This window comes from Homo sapiens, chromosome 1 (genome assembly GCF_000001405.40).
Source record: "Homo sapiens chromosome 1, GRCh38.p14 Primary Assembly".
In the NCBI taxonomy this organism is placed as follows: Eukaryota; Metazoa; Chordata; class Mammalia; order Primates; family Hominidae; genus Homo; species Homo sapiens.
The window spans coordinates 158,033,535-158,054,223 of NC_000001.11; the positions used below are offsets into that span (position 1 = coordinate 158,033,535).

The following is a 20,689-nucleotide window of genomic DNA, read 5'->3' on the forward strand; positions in this document are numbered from 1 at the left end:
CCTTGCTTTGCAGCTCATTTTATTGCTCCTCATGCTCCCACTGCCCCAATCAGGTTGTTTGATCCTTGTCTCAAAGCCTACTGCTGCAGAGAGTCCTCTTTCTTGTTTCGCCCTTGACTACATATCATGGAGCTAACATTTCAAAGATAGAAAATGAAGTTTTCGGCCGGGCATGGTGACTCACATCTGTAATCCCAGCACTTTGGGAGGCCAAGGCAGGTGGATCACCTGAGATCAGGAGTTAAGACCAGCCTGGCCAACATGGTGAAACCCCGTCTGTACTAAAAATACAAAAATTAGCCAGGCATGGTGGCACGTGCCTGTAATCCCAGCTACTGGGGGGCTGAGGCAGGAGAATTGCTTGAACCTGGGAGGCAGAGGTTGCAGTGAGCGGAGATTCTGCCACTGCACTCCAGCCTGGGCAACAAAATGAACTCCATCGGAAAAAAAAAAAGAAGGCTGGGCGCGGTGGCTCACGCCTGTAATCCCAGCACTTTGGGAGGCCGAGGCGGGCGGATCACGAGGTCAGGAAATCGAGACCATCTGGACTAACACGGTGTAACCCCGTCTCTAGTAAAAATACAAAAAATTAGCTGGGCTTGGTGGCGGGCGCCTGTAATCCCAGCTACTCAGGAGGCTGAGGGAGAATGGCGTGAATCCAGGAGGCGGAGCTTGCAGTGAGCCGAGATAGCGCCAATGCAGTCAGGCCTGGGAGAAAGAGCTAGACTCCGTCTCAAAAAAAAAAAAAAAAAGAAAAAAAGAAAATGAAATTTTTCTTTATCCTTCTCCTCTTTGATTTTAGATGCCTCAGTTTCCCATAGATTCCCCTTTCCCAATTTTCATTCCATTTTATATCCAAGTACTTGGCATTCTTTATATCTCTGAAACCCAAGCTTCAATAGGATTCTGAGCATGACCAAAATGGAAGGGTGTTGTTTTCTAGTCTCTGTTATCCAGTTACCTGGACCTTTTACTTTGTAATGTGACTTAGTGAAAGTGTGTATTAGGAGTCAGATGTGGGTTCAAGTTCAGAATCTCCTCTCGCCAGCTGTGAGACCTTAAGAAAGATATGAAACTGAGATTCAGCTTCCTAGGGCTGAGTTTTTTGTGGCTGAAGAAGTTAAATGAATATAAAAGTGATTTTTGAATTGTAAGCTGTTCATAAAACATAAGGGATTGTTATTTCTTGCTAATTCCATCTTAGCGCAGTTACTTAGGCAATAGGGGTTGAGGGACGGGAGACCCTGGTGATCCACAACTTCGGTAGCTAGGGTAGACATATTTTTGGATAATGTGGGGCCGTCTAGTTATTACTGAAAAATCACACGTTTATTTCTCATGCTACCAGATATAAATGTGTACTTTTTTTATTGAAGAAATTGAGGCAAGCTAGAAAAAAAATTTTTAAATTCTCTCTATATTTTCTATTTAACAAACATCTTTACTGAACTGGTTGTGTGTGTGTTCATGTGTGTATATGTGTGTGTATTTATTTTTGCCATTGTTCTGTTTTTCTTACCTCCTTTTCTTCCACCTCTTTGGGTATGTATTTTATCTTGGAATCTGGGAATTGAAGCAGGAACTGGTAGGAGCCATTCCCTTTGCCCCCTGGCTAGGTAGCTATTCAGGCTCCCTCTCTGCCTCTTTTAAGAGATCAATTACTTACCATCCGTCAGTTTCTTTTATCTTTTGGAAGGAAACCTGTTTAGAACAGCCCCCTTGGGACTAGGGCCCCAGGCAGCGAGTGTAGTAGAGAAGTGAGGTCCAGATGCTGTATGCTGATGTAAAGTTGCGACTGCCCTCATGGAGCCTGACAGCAAGGACTGCAGAGTTTTTTCCCCATCTCTGGCATCTTTCCTCCATCAGCAGAGGGTCCAGGGTATCAGGATAATGACAAGACCTTGCCCTGAACAGTAGAAGGGTAAATACAAAGAAAGGAGAGAAATCAAGGGGGAGACAATTCATATATAATGAGCACCTATTCTGCACAAGACACTGCTAGATATTCTACTTACTGTTGACCTATTTATTTTAATTCTCATGGAGCCCTGTTAAATAAGAATTACTCACCCTATGTTCTGGATGAGGTGTTAAGGCTCAGAGAAGTGAAGGTGGAGCTGGGATTCAAACCCAGGCCTGTCTGACCCCAAATCCTAGTATTTTTTTTACCAGTCCATGATCTGTCGGGGCTTTAAAGAACCACTTTGATGGAGACAGGCCATGCCCCTGCTATGTGGAGACCATGTGGTTAATAACAGTGATTGGATGTTTGGGTGATTTTAGCCACAGTCTATGTCCTAGTAGCAGTAGTGTCAATAATTTGGGAGGAACATACCTTTGCCCCTTAGAAAGGCATTTTACTACCCCAAAGTCCCAGAAACCTACAGAGCCCTACAGAACTACACAGAGCCAGGGGGAACTGGTATTTCCAGGGGTGGATTTATGCATTGACAGAGTTTACCATCATCCTTCAATTCTCAACAAATGCAGAGAACCAGAGTGTGGACAGATACTTTTCCTAAACCAACAGTCAAAACCCAGGGATACTGGGGATTACTAAAAGTGTTGTAGTTTGTTTGTGTTTTGATATAGAAGGGACCTTGGGCCTTGACATTACAATGCAAGTAGACTACGGTGCAAATGGCGCCCCCTGGAGCACAGAATTAGAATACAGAATTTCCATTTATTTATTCATTTATTCATTTCTTTATTTATTACTGTTCCAGACTTATTTTCTGGTTGTAACTTATTCAGATAAATACTGCAACGAACTTGTAGCACCAATTGGACAGATCAGCTGGAGGTGCTGGGCAGTGATAGACAGTTTAGGTGGCTTAGGGAGCTAAACTAACGTGGAGAATATGCAGCTTTTTTGCAGACTGAGTAATAAGGGGACATGCATGATGCTTAGGTAACAGAAAGCAGTCCACTATGTAACCTGTATTTACAAATGCGGAAAGGACATGGAGAATGAGAGCAATTCGAGAGGGCTTCTAGACCTTTCCAGGTTTTGGCAGGACCTTCAAGGAGAGCGGCAAGGTTCACGGAGGAGGATGGTGTAAGTTCTCTCAAAGCAGTCACAACCCGGGAAAGAGAGGCGCTTGATGGAGGAGATAAACATCCATGGACCGCGATGCTTGGTGCAGTCTCGGTCAGCTCACTGGGTCTGATGTCCTCCAGTCTACAGTGAAGGGCTTGGGCTGGATTATACCTGAGGCCTCCTGATGCTTATGGTTTTCATCTTTTCTGGCCTGAAGTAGGGGATAGAGAGGGCAGTTTGGGGTGGACAGCAAGCTGTCTGGAGAAGAAAGACTGGGAGAGCAGATGAATGAGGGCCGTTAGACAGGAGTGAGGACGGCCGATAGCTGGGCTGTGGGCTTTAATCAGCCAGAGGAGCCTTGGCGGGCAGGTCTGGAGTGAACCACCCGGAGTCTTGGACTTCGATGGAGCCTGAGATGGGACAGTCTCAGCTGGGCCCTTCAGGGCCTCCCGTGTCTCCTTTGGTTCTCCTATGTTAAAGAAATCCCAGAGGCTGCTGTGGGCCCATGGGTGTCATGCAGCAGCGAGTCCAGATTTGGAGTCCTGGACACCTGGGTTCTAGTCCCACTGCTGCCACGACTAGCACTGGACCTTGGCCTAGTTGCTTCATCCCTCTGGGCTTGTTGAAAGGGGTCAATCGGCCGGGCGCCGTGGCTCACGCCCATAATCCCAGCACTTTGGGAGGCTGAGGCTGGTGGATCACAAGGTCAGGACTTCAAGATCAGCCTGGCCAATATGGTGAAATCCTGTCTCTACTAAAAATACAAAAATTAGCTGGGCGTGGTGGCACATGCCTGTAGTCCCAGCTGCTCGGGAGGCTGACGCAGGAGAATCACTTGAACCTGCGAGGCAGAGGTTGCAGTAAGCTGAGATTGCGCCACTGCACTCCAGCCTGGCGACAAAGCAAGACTCTGGCAAAAAAAAAAAAAAAAAAAAAAAGGAAGGGGTCAATCACACCTACTTCTCAGGGGTCGTGAGCATTAAGTGAATCAATGTCTATAAAATGGTTAGCAGCATGCCTGGCTTATATACGTGTTCAATAAATGACCATTATTTTAATTATTATTAGCTATCAAGTCCCATCTCTCCTTCCAAACCCTGATTGTAGCTCCCTCCTCCAGCAAGCATCCTCTGATTAAGCTCACAGGTCTCCAGTTGCTCGTACACACTGCACCCAGGCTCTTGCAGCCTCACTTTGGGGTTTCCAGGTAGCAGTTGGCTTGTTGTCCTGAGTGTCCTAGGAACATGGTCTTTAGAGTGGGGACCTGTCTCCTTTCCTCCCCAGATTCCTTACTGCCCATTGCAGATTTTGGCCCTCAGGGCACTGGGCTGAGCCCAGGGTGCCTGGCTGATGGACTTCCTGCGACTCATAACTATTTCCTCACCAGGAAACACCCCCAGGCCCAGTGTCAGCTAGACTCGGGGCAGGACCAGCCTGCCAGCGGCTCAATGGCTCTAGCTAAGTTAGGGTCTGGCTCTGTGCCCACGACCTTCCTGGGGAGCTCGTCTCAGGCCTGCCACCCATCTGCCTGGCTGATGAGGGAGGAAGGCCAGCTATTTCTTCCTGCTGGAGGAATAGAGGTCCGTGTGGTGACTCCATCCGTTCTCCTCATGTGTGAGCTGAGTCCTGTGCATTCATCCGTTTAGTTCTCAATTCAGCAAATGTTTATTGAGTCTTCCACTCTGTGCCCCGCACTGCTCTGGTCCCTGGGGACCTGGTAGGGGTCACTGTAATGAGGCTTTGCTCTCACAGCTGCAGGGGGTCAGTCAGTGGTGGTGGGAGGGGGCAGAGGACAATAGCAAGTAAACAAGAACATATGGACTGTGAATGAGTGTTATGATGTTAAAGATGAAGCAGAGTGGCATGAAAAAATCTGGTGTCTTCCAGTCCTTTTACAGGTGGCTCTTCCTCTTTTTTTTTTTTTTTTTTTTTTTTGGAGGCAGGGTCTCTTTATGTTGTCTGGGCTGGTCTTAAACTCCTGGCCTCAAGTGATTCTTGCCTTGGCCCCCCCAAAACACTGAGATTACAGACGTGATCTACTGTGTCTAGCCATTCTCTTCCTCTTTTAAGGAATGCTTCCTAGTGTGTGGTAGGAGTGATTATTCTTAGCCCTGGGAGATCTCACAAACTGACGACTGAACAAAAATAGGGTTCCAAAGGGTCTGAGGAGACGTGAAAAATTCTGTGTCATGTCAAAGAAACAGTAGACTTGCCCACTAGGGGCTTTGTTTTGTTCACGGCTGTAACTTCAGAATCCAGAAGAGTGGTACGTAGTAGGTCTTCAATAAACATTGATTGGCTCCAGAGGGCTAAACGAGGATGAATGGATGTGAACGATACAGAAAGGCAGAGTTCCACAGACTATAAAGAACAGCTTTTTAATAGCTGTAGCTGTCAGCAGATAGAGAGGGCTGCTTCATGAGGCAGTAAGCCCTGCAGCCCGAGAGGGTTCAGGAAGAGCCAGGCTGACCACATGCTGGGCACGCTGGACCGGAGACTTCTGATTGAGAGGAAGGTTGGACAAGGTGACCGCCATTATCCTTTCCAACACTGAGGCTCTGCCATTTCAGCACCACCCCTTCCCAGGCCCAGCCTGCCTATGATTTTGCATCATAAATGCCTGGACTTTGCTGACAATGCCTATGTCTTGCTTGCCATAGAATTGTCCACGAAGAGGAGCCCTGACTGCTCAGCAGTAAAAGGGAAAATCACTTGGAAATGTACTTCCCTTTACTGACCCTGCAGCTCTGTCCTCATTTTATTTTTCTGTATCAAATTGCCAACAGTAAAATTGCTGGATGCATGGCATGTGCTGTTTGCTTCCTTTATGGCCCCTCATTCCCACCATTTGGCCAGTAGAGAAAACAATTAGTGGTATTGGCTCGAGTCTCAAGCTGGAGGACACAAAAGCAGCAAAGGCTGAGCGGGATGTGAGAGCTGGGCAAGCTGGGGTGACCAGAGCCGGGATGCGCCTGCACTCACATTACCGTATGTCTAGAACCTCCCACCCCACACTTACTCATCAAGCCAGCTTTTTCCCCAATCATGCCAATTGTTCCTGAACCTACTGTCCTGCAGGGACCTCTTTGCTTGAGCTCAGTTCTTTCCTTTTCCTCCCCACTCCTTCATGTCTCCTATCAGGCCTGTGATGTAAATACAGTCTGGTCATGTATTGATTGTCTATTTCTAGGTCTTCTTTCCAAATGGCCTAGATGTTGCTACCTGTGTTGGTGTGTTGGTCTCAGAGGGAGGTCCCAGAAGGGAGAGAGCTTGTCTGTCTTGTTCTTTATAGGGAACTGCTCTTGCCACCTCTGGGCGTTGTTGTTATGTTTTTCAGTTTGTTTTGATGTGTTTGGTTTTTTGTTTTTTGGCAACCATGCCATCTCCTTGTGGGCTGTTGATCTACTCATAAAGCAGAGCTCTGAGGAGAGGAGAGAGTTGATGCACAAGGGGTTCTCCAGTGGAAAGCATGAGACTGGGCCTCCCTTGCGTATTTTTCCTTTGCACAAATTGTTGCTTTCCTTCATTATTGCTCATGTCTAGGGGCATAACATAATCCTCAGTTTGTTCATTCATTCATTCACTCATGCATTCACTCACTTGTTTGTTCAATTAACCACAGTTATTGAGACCCTTATGTAAGACCATTCCTGGGCTTGACCTCCAGGATGTAGATATAAGTAAGAACCAGCCTCTGACCATACATCTAACTGGGGAAAGAGACATGTGGGCTGAGAAATGCCATAAAGCATAGCAAGCAAGTCCCATAATAGAGGTCAGAGACATGGAAAAGAAAAAAACTGTGACTTTAGAGTCAGACAGACCAGGGTTGAAATTCTGACCCCAGGTTTTATTGTTTTTATACCTACTCCAGCAAAGGTTTGATGGAATGATAACATCTATCTTCCAAGATTGTTGTGAGGGAGAATTAAATTAGATAATGCATAGTCAGCACTCTATAAATATGGATTCTTCCTCTCCATTGTCTAGGAGAATACAAAAGGAGTTACTCACTTTGCCTAGGCAAGTTAGGAGGGCTTCACAGTGGAGGTGGTTTTTGAGCTTGATTTTATAACACAGAGCAGTTTTCAGGTGAAAATGGAGGGGAAAAACATTTCAGAAAATGGGAACAGGCATTTCCTTAATATCAACCCTAGTAATGAAAAGGCTGGTCTATTCAGAGGAGGAGGGCTGGAGCGTGTGCTAAGATGGTGGTTGGTGGGGGGCTGAAGATAAGATGGAAAAGAAGTTGGGAACCTGGTTATGAAGGGCCTTGGGTGACCAGCTAAGGATTTTGAACTTTATTATCAACAACAAGGAAATAATGGAGGTTTGTAAGCAGTAAGTGATGTGAATCAATCTTGTGTTTTAGGATAACTCTAGGGGTAGGGGGAGCTGGGCATGTGTGGAAGTAGGAATGGAACAGAGGAGAGAGAGCAGGTAGATGTGCATCCAGGAGAAACTACAACCAGTCAAGCAACAAATGTTTATTGAGCAGCTATTATGTGCCAGGCACTCCACTGAGCATTTGGAATACAAAGATGAATTGAATAGGATCCCTGGGATAGACAGATAAATAGGGAACACAATAAACTGTGGTAAGTTGTGCTAGAGGGGAGAACAGGTCCTGTAGAGGCCTTGGGGAGGGTCAGCTAATAAAAGATGCTGTGGACAGGCCACTCATTTATCCGCATAGGTGTGCATACATCTCACAACTCCCGTGTGCCACTCACAGACAACTTCGTAAGGTGGTCCTGGTCTTGAAGTTATCCAGGAGAGAAAGATAGGTTTGAACCAAGGGAGAGACAATTCAGGAGGGGAATCATTTAATTCAAAAAGTATTCTGGAGTTGGAATTGACAATAGATTTGAGATAAGGATTAAGGGAGAGGAAGGGATCCAGGCTCATAACAGTCCCTCTGAAGGTGCTGAGGCTTGAGTGTCTAAGGAGAAAGGAAAACCAGCAGAGCAGCTAATGGGAATGACCAGAAACCTGAGGGACCCCTGCCCTCTGAGCCTCACTTCTCCTTATCTTAGAACCTAACCCAGAGGGAATCACTTCTCTCCACCCTCGCTTGGGCTTTCCCACCTCTCTCTTGAGATTCCTATCTCAGTCCTCTCCCAAAAGAACCAGGTTCAAATCTCAGCTCCCTTACCTACTGTGTGCGTGATGGTGAACAAGTCTCCCCTCTGGTTTGTGCGGTGGGAGAATGGGGGTGCTTGGTACTCTAAAACCCTAGGCTGATGCTAGGACATTAACTTTCATCATTGCAGGCAGCAGGTTGACTTGGATGGAGTGGAAGGGCATGGATTTGGTGAGCTAGAGATGGCGAGGAGGGTTAGGCAGTTGGTCTGGTTCAGAGATTTCTTTCTGGGGAAGGAGGTGAGAGGAACAAATTGGACCTCAGAAGTTCAAGGGCCTTCACAGGAACTCAGAGAACTTGCTACATTGCCTGAGCACTTCTGGAGCTCAGAGAACTTGTTCAGAGAACACTGTTACATTGCCCGAGCACTTCCAGAGCTCTCGATGTCACAGGAGGCTTGGAGGGAGGGACAAGAGAGGAAGAGAGCTCCTCCAACACCAGAATGGAGGTGGGCCCAGGGCCATGAGTAGCTGCGTCGTGTGGGTCTTCTCCAGGGTGTGTGTGTGTGTGTGTGTGTGTGTGTGTGTGTGTGTGTGACTCAGACCTGGTAACTAAATAAGGTTTCCAGGTGAACGTGCAGGTAAGGGGGGCCCGGCCTAGATGCTCCCGGCACCAGTTGAGAGTGACCTTTGTGCCCTCCTATTGCTTCAGTTTTCACTGGGAGGCAGCTAAGATATTTGGAAGAATCTTTAACATGAGCCCAAAAGTATTTGCTTCTTTGGTTATGCTATTACCTCATTCTCTGTTACCTGAGCCTCAGTTTCCACATGCGTAATATGGGATACCAGTCCCTCCCTTGCAGAGCTATTATGAGATGAGGTGAGATTATGGAAGCAGAGCTCCACACTGCTGTAACACTAGCTAGTGTTTACAGAAGCCAGGCACTGGTCTATGTACTTTACAGATGCATGTTGCCTCATTAAAACCTTCACAACAACCTGAGGTAGGTACGACTATTCCCCAGTTTTGCAGATGAGAAAATGGATGCAGATTGGCTGTTCTCTGGCCTGTGCTCTTAACCACCTGCTGCACCCTCTGTGATGTTATTACTATGCCTTATAAATTAGCTTTGCCGGCTGGGCACGGTGGCTCACTCCTGTAATCCAAGCACTTTGGGAGGCCAAGGTGGGAGGATCATGAGGTCAGGAGATCGAGACCATCCTGGCTAACACGGTGAAACCCCGTCTCTACTAAAAAAAAAAAAAAAAAAATACAAAAAAATTAGCCGGGCGTGGTGGCAGGCACCTGTAGTCCCAGCTACTGGGGAGGCTGAGGCAGGAGAATGGTGTGAACCTGGGAGACGGAGCTTGCAGTGAGCGGAGATTGCACCACTGCACTCCAGCCTGGGCAACAGAGCGAGACTCCATCTCAAAAAAAAAAAAAAAAAGATTAGCTTTGCCCTTCATCATGAGGGTGGGGGCACTCCAACACCTACTGCGAGGAAGCAGTGCTGGAGAGAGGGAGAAGCTGCTTGCAGAGTGGACTGTGAGATCCACACTGGGAGAGGCTACAGATGGGAAAAGAGAGTGGATGGAAAGCTCCTGAAAACTGAAAATGGTGACATAGGCATGGGATATTTTTGCCCCAGCCAGCACCTCATTCCCCCCTTATGGAAAGAGTGGCGTAAGAATCCTGACCCCACCCCTCCTCCATTCCTGCTCAGATGTGCTCAGCCCTCTCTTGGCCCGGCTGCACGCCTCCCTTCCCCCAACCTGTGGCCTCCACCCCAGGCGGGATCAGATATGGTCTTTGTCTTTCTGCCTGGCTGCTCCCTTTCAGGGGATAAAGGCCTCTGTGTCTGGGAACACTGATAGTTCAGGGGAGTTTGAGGGACAGCTTGGGAAGTCTGACAGGACTCCCTAAATAAACGCCTTTCCTCTCCACCCAGTGGCCATATCTCCCCATTACCTTCCCCTAGGCTGGGTACCCCATTACCATGAGTTCTAGGGGCTGTGGAGAAGGCCTCTGCTTTCTTGGGCCCCTGCTTAGGGGGAAAGAGGAAAACAGAAGAAAATGTGCCTTCCTGGGGCACAATGAGACACTGGGGGTGGGGGTGCGGCAGTGGTGGGCTGTGCCATGGCAGGGAGCCGTGAACAGCAGCATCTCTGTGAGAGATGCTTTGACGCCACAAAGGACCCCATGTTTAACCCTATTTTTCCAGCTTCACCCTGCAAATTACTAGCTTTGTGACATTAGGCAAATTACTTAATTTCTCTTAGCCTCCACATTTCCATCTGTAAAATGGGGTTAATAATAGGTATCTTAATGGTAGATGTTGAGGATTCAGTGAGGCAATCCACATAAAAGAACAAGCTCGGTGTTTTGGACATTCATTCATTCTTTTAGATGTGAACTGGATGCCAACCGCATACCAGGGACTGTGCTGCATGCCAGGTCTGCAAAAGTGAGCAGCTGGACATGGCCCCTGCCTTTGTGAAAAAAAGCAATCTCTGCAAGGCATGGTGGGTGCCAGATGTAAGAAGCATTACATAAAAGGCAGCTGTAAAAAAGTGGCAGAAGGAGGTGAGCCCCCTTCTGTCTGCCTCCAGAGCCAGGTCAGGCTTAATGCAAGGTCCTGCATCTGGGAGGGGACAGTCATCTGTACTGACTGGGAGGTCCATGCCCAGAGAGAGCTTCCATCCTCTCTGGACACTCACTTTAATGAGAAGCGGACAAACTGGACTTCCCTAATGGAGGACAGTGGTGAAGCTTCCAAAAATTATAACAGATTTATTTATTTATTCAATGTTTTTAAAGTATTAGGCATTTTTTGTTTGTTTGCTTGTTTGTTTGTTTGTTTTGAGACAGTCTTGCTCTGTCACCCAGGCTGGAGTGCAGTGGCACGAACTCGGCTTACTGCAACCTTTGTCTCCCGGATTCAAGCGATTCTCATACCTCAGCCTCCTGAGTAAATAGGATTACAGGCATGCGCCACCATGCCCAGCTAATTTTCGCATTTTTAGTAGAGATGGGGTTTAGCCATGTTGGCCAGGCTGGTCTCGAACTCCTGGCCTCAAGTGATCCGCTCATCCCAAAGTGCCAGGCCCTTTTTCCAAGTGCTGAGGATACAGCAATTAACACAAAGAAAAAAGAAAATCTCTACCCTCATGGACCTTATATGGCTTCTGTCAGAGAGAGGGACAATAAGCTAATTAATAGGTAAAATATTAGTTAGTTGGATATTGATAAAATGGAAAATAATTAAGCAAGGGAAGGGGAATCCGGAGTCTGGTGGGGCAGTGGTCCAATTTTAAGTAGTGCAGTGAGTAAAGAACTTACTCAGAAGGTGATAACAAGAAAAGATGTGAAGGAGTTCAGGGAGTAGGCACATTAAGGGGAAGAAGCATTCCAGGCAGAGGGAACAGCAGAGGCAGAGGTCCTGAGGGGAAAATGCACCTGGTGTGTTTGAGGAAAAGCCAGTGTGGATGGAGGGAGGTGAGCAGGGGAACTGGTGATAGAAGTGAGGAGTGTGCCTGCACATGTGCACAAATCATGAGGGGCTACAACACTGCCATACCTTCCCCTAGGCTGGGTACCCCATTACCATGAGTTCTAGGGGCTGTGGGAACGCCCAGAATCCACAGGTTAGGTAAGGGCACAGTCCCCAACAAGGACTGCCCTCGTTTCAGATGTCAGCTTCAAATTTGGGAGTCCCCAGGCCACCTGGACTTCTGACCAAGTAACTACAAATTCAGTGGTTCCCACAACCCCTTTGGGATCAATAATTTGACAGAATGACTCTCAGGACTCAGGAAAGTGCTATACTATTACAGTTTTATTACACAGGATATAAATCTGGATGAACCAAATGAAGAGACACACAGGACCAGCTGTGAGAGGGTCCCAAGCATGGAGCTTCCGTGCCCTCTCCCTGTGGAATCAAGACGTTTCACCCACCCTGCACATCAATGTGTGTACCAACCAGGAGGTTCCATGACTCTAGGAGTCCAGAGTTTTTATTGTAGTTTTATTATCAAATCATTTTGGCATGTGATTGAATTCAGTCTCCAACCTCCCTCTCCTCTCTGGAAGCTGGTGTCATGTGGCTCAGTGCCCTAACCTTCTAATCACGTGGTTGATCTTTCCAGCATCCTCAGCCCCAATCCAGAGTCACCTCATTAGCATAAACCCCAGTGTGCAATGAATAACAAAGACATTCTTATCACTTGGGAAGTTCCACGAGTTTAAAACTTCTGTCCCAGGAATGTGGACCAAGGCCAGAAAAATTCTTCCTTATTGGACCAGAGCCTTGAAGGAATCACAGGACTTAGGCTTTTACTTTGAATGAAATGGGAAGTCACTGGTAGATTTTGAGCACAGGAGTGACATGGTATAATTCATGTTTTAACAGAATTGCTTTGGGTACTGTGTCAAGAATAGATGGTGTGAAGGAAGGGCAGGAGCAGAGAGACCCATTAAGCAGCTACTGCAGTAATCCAGGCACAAGATGATAGCTTGGGCACCATTGGCATGCCTAGAGTCCACAAAAAGTGGTCCATTTCTGGGATTATTGGGAAATGAGAACCAGCAGGACTTCCTTATGGATTGGACGAAGGGTGAGAGGGAAAGATCAGTCAAAGATGACATTGAGGCTTTGTCTTACGGACCTGGAGGAATGAAGCTGGCTTTGACTGAGAAGACCAAGTTTGGGGGTGGAAGATCGGGAGCTCAGTTTTGGACACATTAAGTATGAGAGGCCAATGAGACAGCCAAGTGGGGGTGTCCAGTAAGAAGTTTGAGCGATGCCACTGCAGCTGGAGGGAAAGGTCTGAGCTGGGATAGAACATCAAGTTAGAGATGATGTTTAAAGCTGTGCAACTGGTTGAATTTAACAAGGGAGCGAACCAAGAGGGAGGGGAGGGCCAGTCAGGACCCTTCAACAAGAAGAGGAGGAGGAGGTTGTGGAGCAGGCAAGAGAGGAGGAGGAAACCCAAAAGACTGTGGGGTCCTGCAAGACCAGGTGGGGAAGGTCTTTGAGGAGGGAGGGATCATCTGTAACAAGTGTGCTGATCCATTAAGCAAGATGAGGACGAAGATGAGGGCCAGTGTTGGATTTAGCAACTTGTAGGTCATTGGTAACTCAGCACTAAAAGTTCTGGTGTGAGTTCATGAGTGAATGGGAGGAGAAGGATTGTGTGTACTACTATGCTTCAGTGCTTTTGCTATAAAGGAGAGCAGAGCATGGAGGGGGTTGCTGGGCACAGGGTCAACAGAGAGGTTTTAAGAGAGGAGAGAATGCAGCCCCTTTGTATGCAGATGCCTGTGGAAACAACAGGTTAAGAAACTAGGGATGTTTGGTCATGAGAAGAGGAGACTCCAGGGATATGTCATAACTCTCCTCACGTGCTTAAAGGAGTGTCATATGGAAGAGAATTAGATTCATTTTATGTGACTCCATAGAGAAGAACTAGGACCAATGGCTACAAGCTACAAAGAGGAGGATTGTAGCACAGCCTAAATAAGAATTTTGTGCATCCATGTATTTGCTCATTCAGGAAGTCAGTATTGAATGCCTGCTGCATGTCTGACACTGGCCTAGGCACCAGGGGTCGTCATGATGAAGATTCAGCCCTTTCTGGCTAATGGAAGAGAGCAACACAGACAAACAATGATTGTGCCATGTGGAAAGTGCTGACAAGGCCCCTGTGTCTGACTGGGGTGGGGAATGGGGGTTCAGGGGAAGGTCAGGCTGGGTGGAGAAGTCATCATTGTTGGCTGAGGATATTCCACCTTCTGATAACCGAGAGCCTATTTGGCCTAAATAAATGAGACTTAAAAAGGCACTTGAACCTCAGTTATCAGGTCCATTTTCTGGATGGCTAGGCCATGTAGATGCAGCCTTCATAAAAATGATACCTGATATATGGGCGGTGCTTTATCATTTACAGAGAACTTCTAATCCTCCCCACAGCCTGCCAGGATCATTCTGTTGTCCCTGTTTTCTAGTTGGGTTAACCAAGGCTCAGAGCAGTGAGCCTTGCCTAAGGTCACTTCATTATTATAAAGATGGAGCTGGGGCCAGAACCCGGTTCATGAGTCCCTGGTCCAATGAACACACCCTCCCAGAGCTGTGAAATGCTGACTATAATTTGCCGTCTCCCTTCTCTGACCCATGCACAAAAGTACTTTGGGGCCAGGATTTGGGTCTCAGCTGAAACATTTCCTAACCTCATGCCCCTTCTCCTGATTTCTTGAAGCTTTCCCCAGTCTGGTTTCTGCAAAAGAATCTGCTCTGATGAAGCCAGAAACTTTTCCACCCTCTGCCTGGGGCTTTCTCCCCTGCTCTTTCTCTCTGGTTCCAACCTTTCTCTTTTGCCTGATCTTACATCACATTCTCTTACTTTAAGAAGATCTCTGGACCTCATCGTGGTCTAAAATTGTTAGAGTCTTCATACTTTCTAGGCCAGCAGTCCCTGGGTTCCTCTGATGTTGGTGAGACCTATTGCGTCCAAAAAATTAGGGGAGTTGGATATCTAAACACTGTAAATAAGAAGGATGGAAGGAAGAAGGATAGGGCAAGAATAATAGTGATTATTAAAACTTACATCAGGCTTACTACCTATGAAGAATTATTTATGTTATCTCCATTTTACAATTGAGGAAACTGAGGCACAGAGCACTAAAGCAGGTTGCTCCAGGTTGAGTAGCAGAGCTGGTTACCAAGTGGCCATGCTTAGCTGCTGTGCTCCACTGCTTCCCTTAAGAAGGAAAGGAGGAGAGAAACAAGACTAGGAAAGGCGTTTTTTCAGCATGATTGTTTTGAGCCAGCAGTGTGCTGAAGCTGTGGGGGAAGAAATAGATCTAGTCCTTGCCCACAGTGAACTCACAGCTACAGAATTACAGAACATCAAAGTTGGAAGAGACCGTGGAGATGTCATCCAAATTGGGACACAGGGAGGTGAAGTGAAACACCTACGAAGGAAAAGGGAACGCATACTTTTGCACACATACAAAAATAGCATAAAACATACAAGTCAGCGGTTCAAGGCAGGCCATTAACAACTGAAGTTGAGCACCTGTTACAGTAAATACATGTCTGGATGCTGCAGCAGGAGTGAAGTAAAGTCCTTGCCCTCCAGCTGAGGGGAAATTGCGAGAGTAGGAAATAGGATGACATTGACCGAGAGAGTGTAAAGTATTTAAAGTGTTTGAACAATAACAAGCAGTCCAATTTGGTAGGAGTTGAGCTCACTTCTGAGAGAGAATTGAAAGGTAAGGTGGAGATGCTAAGGGAGGTAGTACAAACTGAGCTCAGAGAGTCCAGAGAAGCAGTCAGGTGGGGCTTATCGGGAAAGGCTTTCTGGAAGAGGGAGCATTTGGGTTGCACTAAAGAAGAAAAACTTGCATTTGCAAGTGTGGAGACAGAACGAATAAGGTATTTGTAGAAGGTGGTGTGGGAAGTAGAAAATGAGGCAATTAACTTTTGGATTCAGTTCAATTCTGCAAATGTAAGTTGAGTGTTTACTAGGAGCCAGACATCCTTGGTCAGTATAAAAATGAATTTAAAAAGTAGTGCCTATCTTCAAGGAGCTTATAGTTCAGAGCTTCACAGAGTTAGAGGATGCACAAGTACTATGGGAATTCAGGCAGGGCCCTTGGCTCAGACTGAGGGTTTAAGGGAGGTTCTGGGGCCCTAAGCTGGAACTGTGTCTTGATGGATGGAGAGGAGTGAGTCAAGTGACGGGAGCACAGGAGCATCCTGAGGGGGTGCACCCGCACTGAGAGGATGGTTTGGCGTGTGCACACGCCTCTGAGAGTCTGGGATTTCTAGAAGGTAAAGTGCACGTTGACCAGGGTCTAACCGAATTTGAACTTCATCTGAAGTCAATGGAGAGCCATTGAAAGGTTTTTCATAGGGCAATGTTATCATTAGATTTGTGTTTCAGAAAGATCATTCTGGCAACTTTGTTGGGAATGGACTTAAGAGAAGCAGGCTGGTGACAGGGGAAGCAATTAGGAAGTTATTGCAGTAGTCCAGGGGAGTGAGGATAAAGACCTTAAGCAAAGCGACAGGGTGGAGAGGAAGGGATAGAATCCAGACCTATTTAGGAGGGATATTTAGTGGTGCCTGCTATGAGGTAGGAGAAGAAAGTCTGGGATGAGCCCCAGGTTTAAATGAGGGTAGGGAGGTAGTGGGGTCGGTGAGCAGAAAGACTACAGAAATGCAGCTGAAAAGACCCGTATTACAGCAACCATGGACCCTCAGTGAATTGGGGAGGGTCATCAGAGCCAGAATCCACAAGTTTTGTGGACTGAGCTGGTCTTCAAGTGATGGTGAGCAATTCCTGGAAATCCCTGGATGAGGACCAAGGACTTGGCAGTTTTTCAGGTTTAAAGTAAAAAATCAGTGTCTGGAAGTGGAGACTGGAGGAGAGAGGTGTGTGTGTGTGCACATGCCTGTGAGATGTGGTTAGAGATTATCTACAACATTTGGCGAGGAATTTCTGGGTTCCAGGGACTACAGCACTTCTGAAGTCCCAGGTGGCAGTACTGCCTCACCCCGACAGCCTCCTAGCGTGAACATAGACTCAATCCAATTCTCCCCATCCCAGAGTTCTGCAGGGGGTTAAGGAAATTTCCTTGACTCCTTGATTTAATCCAATCCTCTTATTTCACAGATGAAATACCTGAGGCCCAGAGAGGTGAAGTGAATTCCCCAAGGTCACACAGCTGGTCAACAGTAAAGCCAGAATTGTAACTCTGGTCTCTGTGGACTTATAATGAGGTGCTATTTTCACTCCCCCCTTTCCTCCCATTCACTATAAACATCCCTCGAACATTAAACATTGGAAATTTCCTTGACCCCTTGCAGAACTGTGGGATGGGGGAATTAGAATGTGCCCATTAAAGCCAGAAGCCACTTGTTTAAGGGACCACTGAGCACTGCAGTACAATGTGTTCAGTGTTCCAGGGACCTTAACCATGAATGGGAACTGGGGAGGAAAATGGGGAGTGGAGATGGCACCTGATTAGAAGTCCAGAGAGACCACAGAGTTATCCTTCTGGCTTTACTACTGACCAGCTGTGTGACCTCAGGAGATTCACTTCATCTCTCTGGGCCTCAGGTATTTCATCTGTGAAATAAGAGAATTGGATTAAATTATCTCATGTAGATTTCTTCCAGGTCTCAAATTCCATTATTCTGAAAAATGCAGTCAGATATTTGCTCTAAGATTAGTCTATTTGATCCGTCCCGGTCTCACTATCTACACTTTACCAAAATCCTACTTTTTCTGGATTCTTGAAAACTTAAGAGCAGGAAGTTCTTCTTCATGTCTACCTTCGGTTTCTCCTGCTTCAGCATAAACCTTACTGGGGAGAAAAGACATCTGTCCACTGTTGCTCAGAACGAAGTTCCCCTCCTCATACTTCAGTGCTGGCTGCATTGAATCAACTGTTCTGATGGTGGACGTGGTGCATGGAGGCCGAGAAGCACATGGGCAGCCCAGTGTAGTTGCAAGGTTTGCTCACACTCAGTGCATACTCGGTGCCTTCCCCTGTCCCCTTGCCTTTGTGCCTGTGCTTATGCTGTTCCCTGGAAGATCTTCCTTTCCTTCCTGTGGTCTTTCCTGAAGCAAGGGCAGATACAAGAACCCTGACTCCCAGATCCTACTTCTAGTTCTATCATCTATAATGACAGATGATCAGTTATTCTTATTAGTGGTTCATGGTCACACAATGAACACCTATAGACGACAGAAGTGGCATTATTGAAATAATAACAGTGGCTAATATTTTAAAATACTTGCTACATATATATTTCATTTAGTCAACACTACCAGTAACCAGCATGTAGCCGCATCAACATCAACACTAGAGTAACTCACTATATTTAACTTCTTGTTTCCTCCTTTTTGTAGAGACATAGTGAATGGATACCTGCTCTCTTCTCCCTTCCACTCTCTTCCTTCTTCCAATTTAATTCCCCTCTCTTGCTTACTCTTTTCCTGGGAAAAATGCAAGAGTAATTTTTCTAAAATCTTCTCTTCAGTGGGTCCCCATCATCTACAAGATGAAGTTCATACTCCTTGGAATGACCTTGGATGGCCACCAGGCCACTTGCCATTGACTTCTGCCTCCCCATCACCACACCCTTCTTCTCCAGGATTCCTGTAAATGCCTTCACCTCCTCTTTGGTTACCCAAACTGAAAATGACCTCCCTTCCTCTCAGCTTCCACCTTCTCCTAATCATTAAATCCTGTTGATTCTACCCCTTCATTTATTTCATACCTATTCCATTTCTCTTTATCCACTGTCTTAGTTTTATATCCTTATAATTTTTCTCCAGGAGCAGTACAGCAGCTCCCTGCTGTACCTACCCTCCCTCTAACTACTGGCAGAGTGTTCTGCCTTATCACTTCTCTTAACTACTCTGATAAAATCCAAACTCCTGATCCAGCATATAAAACTCTACATGATCTGGCCCCAACCTACCTCCCTTACCCCATCTCTCTTCCCTCTCTTCTCTTGAACTCTAGTTAATCAGAACCAGTTGCATATGCAGCAGTCCACAAACATACATGGCCCCTGAGCCCTTGCTAACATTTATCTCCTGCCTGGAGGAACTGTCCCGCTCCCAGCCAACCCACCCAACATTCCCCTTACCTGCTTGGTGAACACCTATTATATTTCAAATCTTAGTCTAAGTGATATCTCCTCTATGAAGACTACCTGACCACCAAGCTTCCTTACTTTTATCATTGTACCTTGTATTAGTCCATTTTGTGTTGCTATAAAGGAATACTGGAGGCTGGATAATTTATAAAGAAAAGAGATTTATACAGGGCGCGGTGGCTCACGCCTGTAATCCCAGCACTTTGGGAGGCCAAGGCAGGTGGATCACGACGTCAGGAGATCGAGACCATCCTGGCTAACACACTGAAACCCCATCTCTACTAAAAATACAAAAAAAAAAAAAATAGCCGGGCGTGGTGGCGGGTGCCTGTAGTCCCAGCAACTCCAGAGGATAAGGCAGGAGAATGGCATGAACCCGGGAGGCTGAGCTTGCAGTGAGCCGAGATAGCGCCACTGCACTCCAGCCTGGGCGACAGAGCAAGATTCCATTTCAAAAAAAAAGAGAGAGAGATTTATTTGGCTCACGGTTCTGCAGGCACCAATATCCACTCAGCTTCTGGTGAGGCCTCAGGAAGCTTTTACTCATGGCAGAAGGCAGAGAGGGGAGCTGGTGTGTCACATGGCGAGAGAGGGAGCAAGAGAGAGAGGAGGAGGTGCCAGCTCCTTTAAACAACCAGCTCATGTGTGAACTAACAGAGAGAGAACTCACTCATTACCCTGGGGAGGGCACCAAATCATTCATGGAGATCTGCCCCCATTACCCAAACACCTCCCACTAGGCCTACCTCCAACAATGGGGATCACATTTCCACACAAGATTTGGAGGGGACAAACTTCCAAACCATATCACACCTATAACTGCATGTTGTGTTTATGTGTGTAAGTCTGTACTCACCTCTACGTTCCTTGAGAGCAGGAGGCATGTGGGATTCTACTTCCTGTCTCCATCCCCCAGTACAGCACCTGACACACAGTAGGGTGCAGGTGCATTAAATATTGAGTGGGTAAATGAATGAATGACATTCAAGATTTGGCACAATCTGGTCAGAGTCTAGCTGTCCTATCTTTCATAAACAATAAAAATGCAGCATCTTAAGGTTGCCATGCACAAGTAGCTTGCAAGTGTATTTAAGGGGATTATCACTTTTAATCCTTACAACCCTGCCCTTCCACAAATACCCAGTGACTCAGCCACACCAGACTCTTCCCCAGACACACCACAGGCTTCTCTGCTCATGTCCTTTCTGTTCTTTGTGCCCAGAATCCCTTTACTCCCACATTTCCTGGTTTGAGGCTTAATTTTGCCCTTTACAGAGACCCTTTTCAGATTCACCCTCTCCTCTTTTCCCATTGTTGGAATTGATCATTTTCCTCCTAAACACCAGAGCTGATGATTGACCTGAGCCTCATATTTAGCTGAAGCTATTTCATGTAAATTCCTCAAGGACAAGGCTATTCCTTATTAATCCCTTATTCTATGGGACTGAGCATAAACTCTGGCACATAGTAGGTCCCCAATGCTTGTTTGCTAGTTAGAATAGAATGGAATTGAGCTGAATTGATTGTTTAGGTTTCAGAGTTCTTCCAGTTTTTGCTGGAACCACAGGACAGAAGGAATCAAGAAAGTGGTGGGGATGGGCCGTGTGCAGTGGCTCACACCTGTAATCCCAGCACTTTGGGAAGCTGAGGCGGGTGGATCACGAGGTCAGGAGTTCCAGACCAGCCTGACCAACTTGGTGAAACTTCATCTCTACTAAAAATAAAAAAATTAGCCAGGTGTGTGGTGGTGTGTGCCTGTAATCCTAGCTACTCAGGAGGCTGAGGCAGGAGAATTGCTTGAAGCTGGGAGGCGGGGTTTGCAGTGAGCTGAGATCGTGTCACTGCATTCCAGTCTCGGTGACAGAGCAAGACTCCATCTCAAAAAAAAAAA

At 46.7% G+C, this 20,689-nt stretch overlaps 1 protein-coding gene across 4 annotated transcripts in view, besides 1 other annotated feature; it reads left to right on the plus strand.

The window, feature by feature from the left end:
- Nucleotides 1-20,689, plus strand: part of KIRREL1 (kirre like nephrin family adhesion molecule 1) — a 106,618-nt gene that overhangs the window by 39,890 nt on the left and 46,039 nt on the right. The gene's annotated exons all lie outside the window — the stretch shown is intronic.
- Nucleotides 12,054-12,586: an enhancer, noted in NCBI's record as "OCT4-NANOG hESC enhancer chr1:158015378-158015910 (GRCh37/hg19 assembly coordinates)". NCBI's record gives its function as "activates a minimal SCP1, AML or CMV promoter by ChIP-STARR-seq in primed H9 embryonic stem cells {active_cell/tissue: H9 hESC(primed)}" and the evidence as "EXISTENCE:reporter gene assay evidence [ECO:0000049][PMID:30033119]".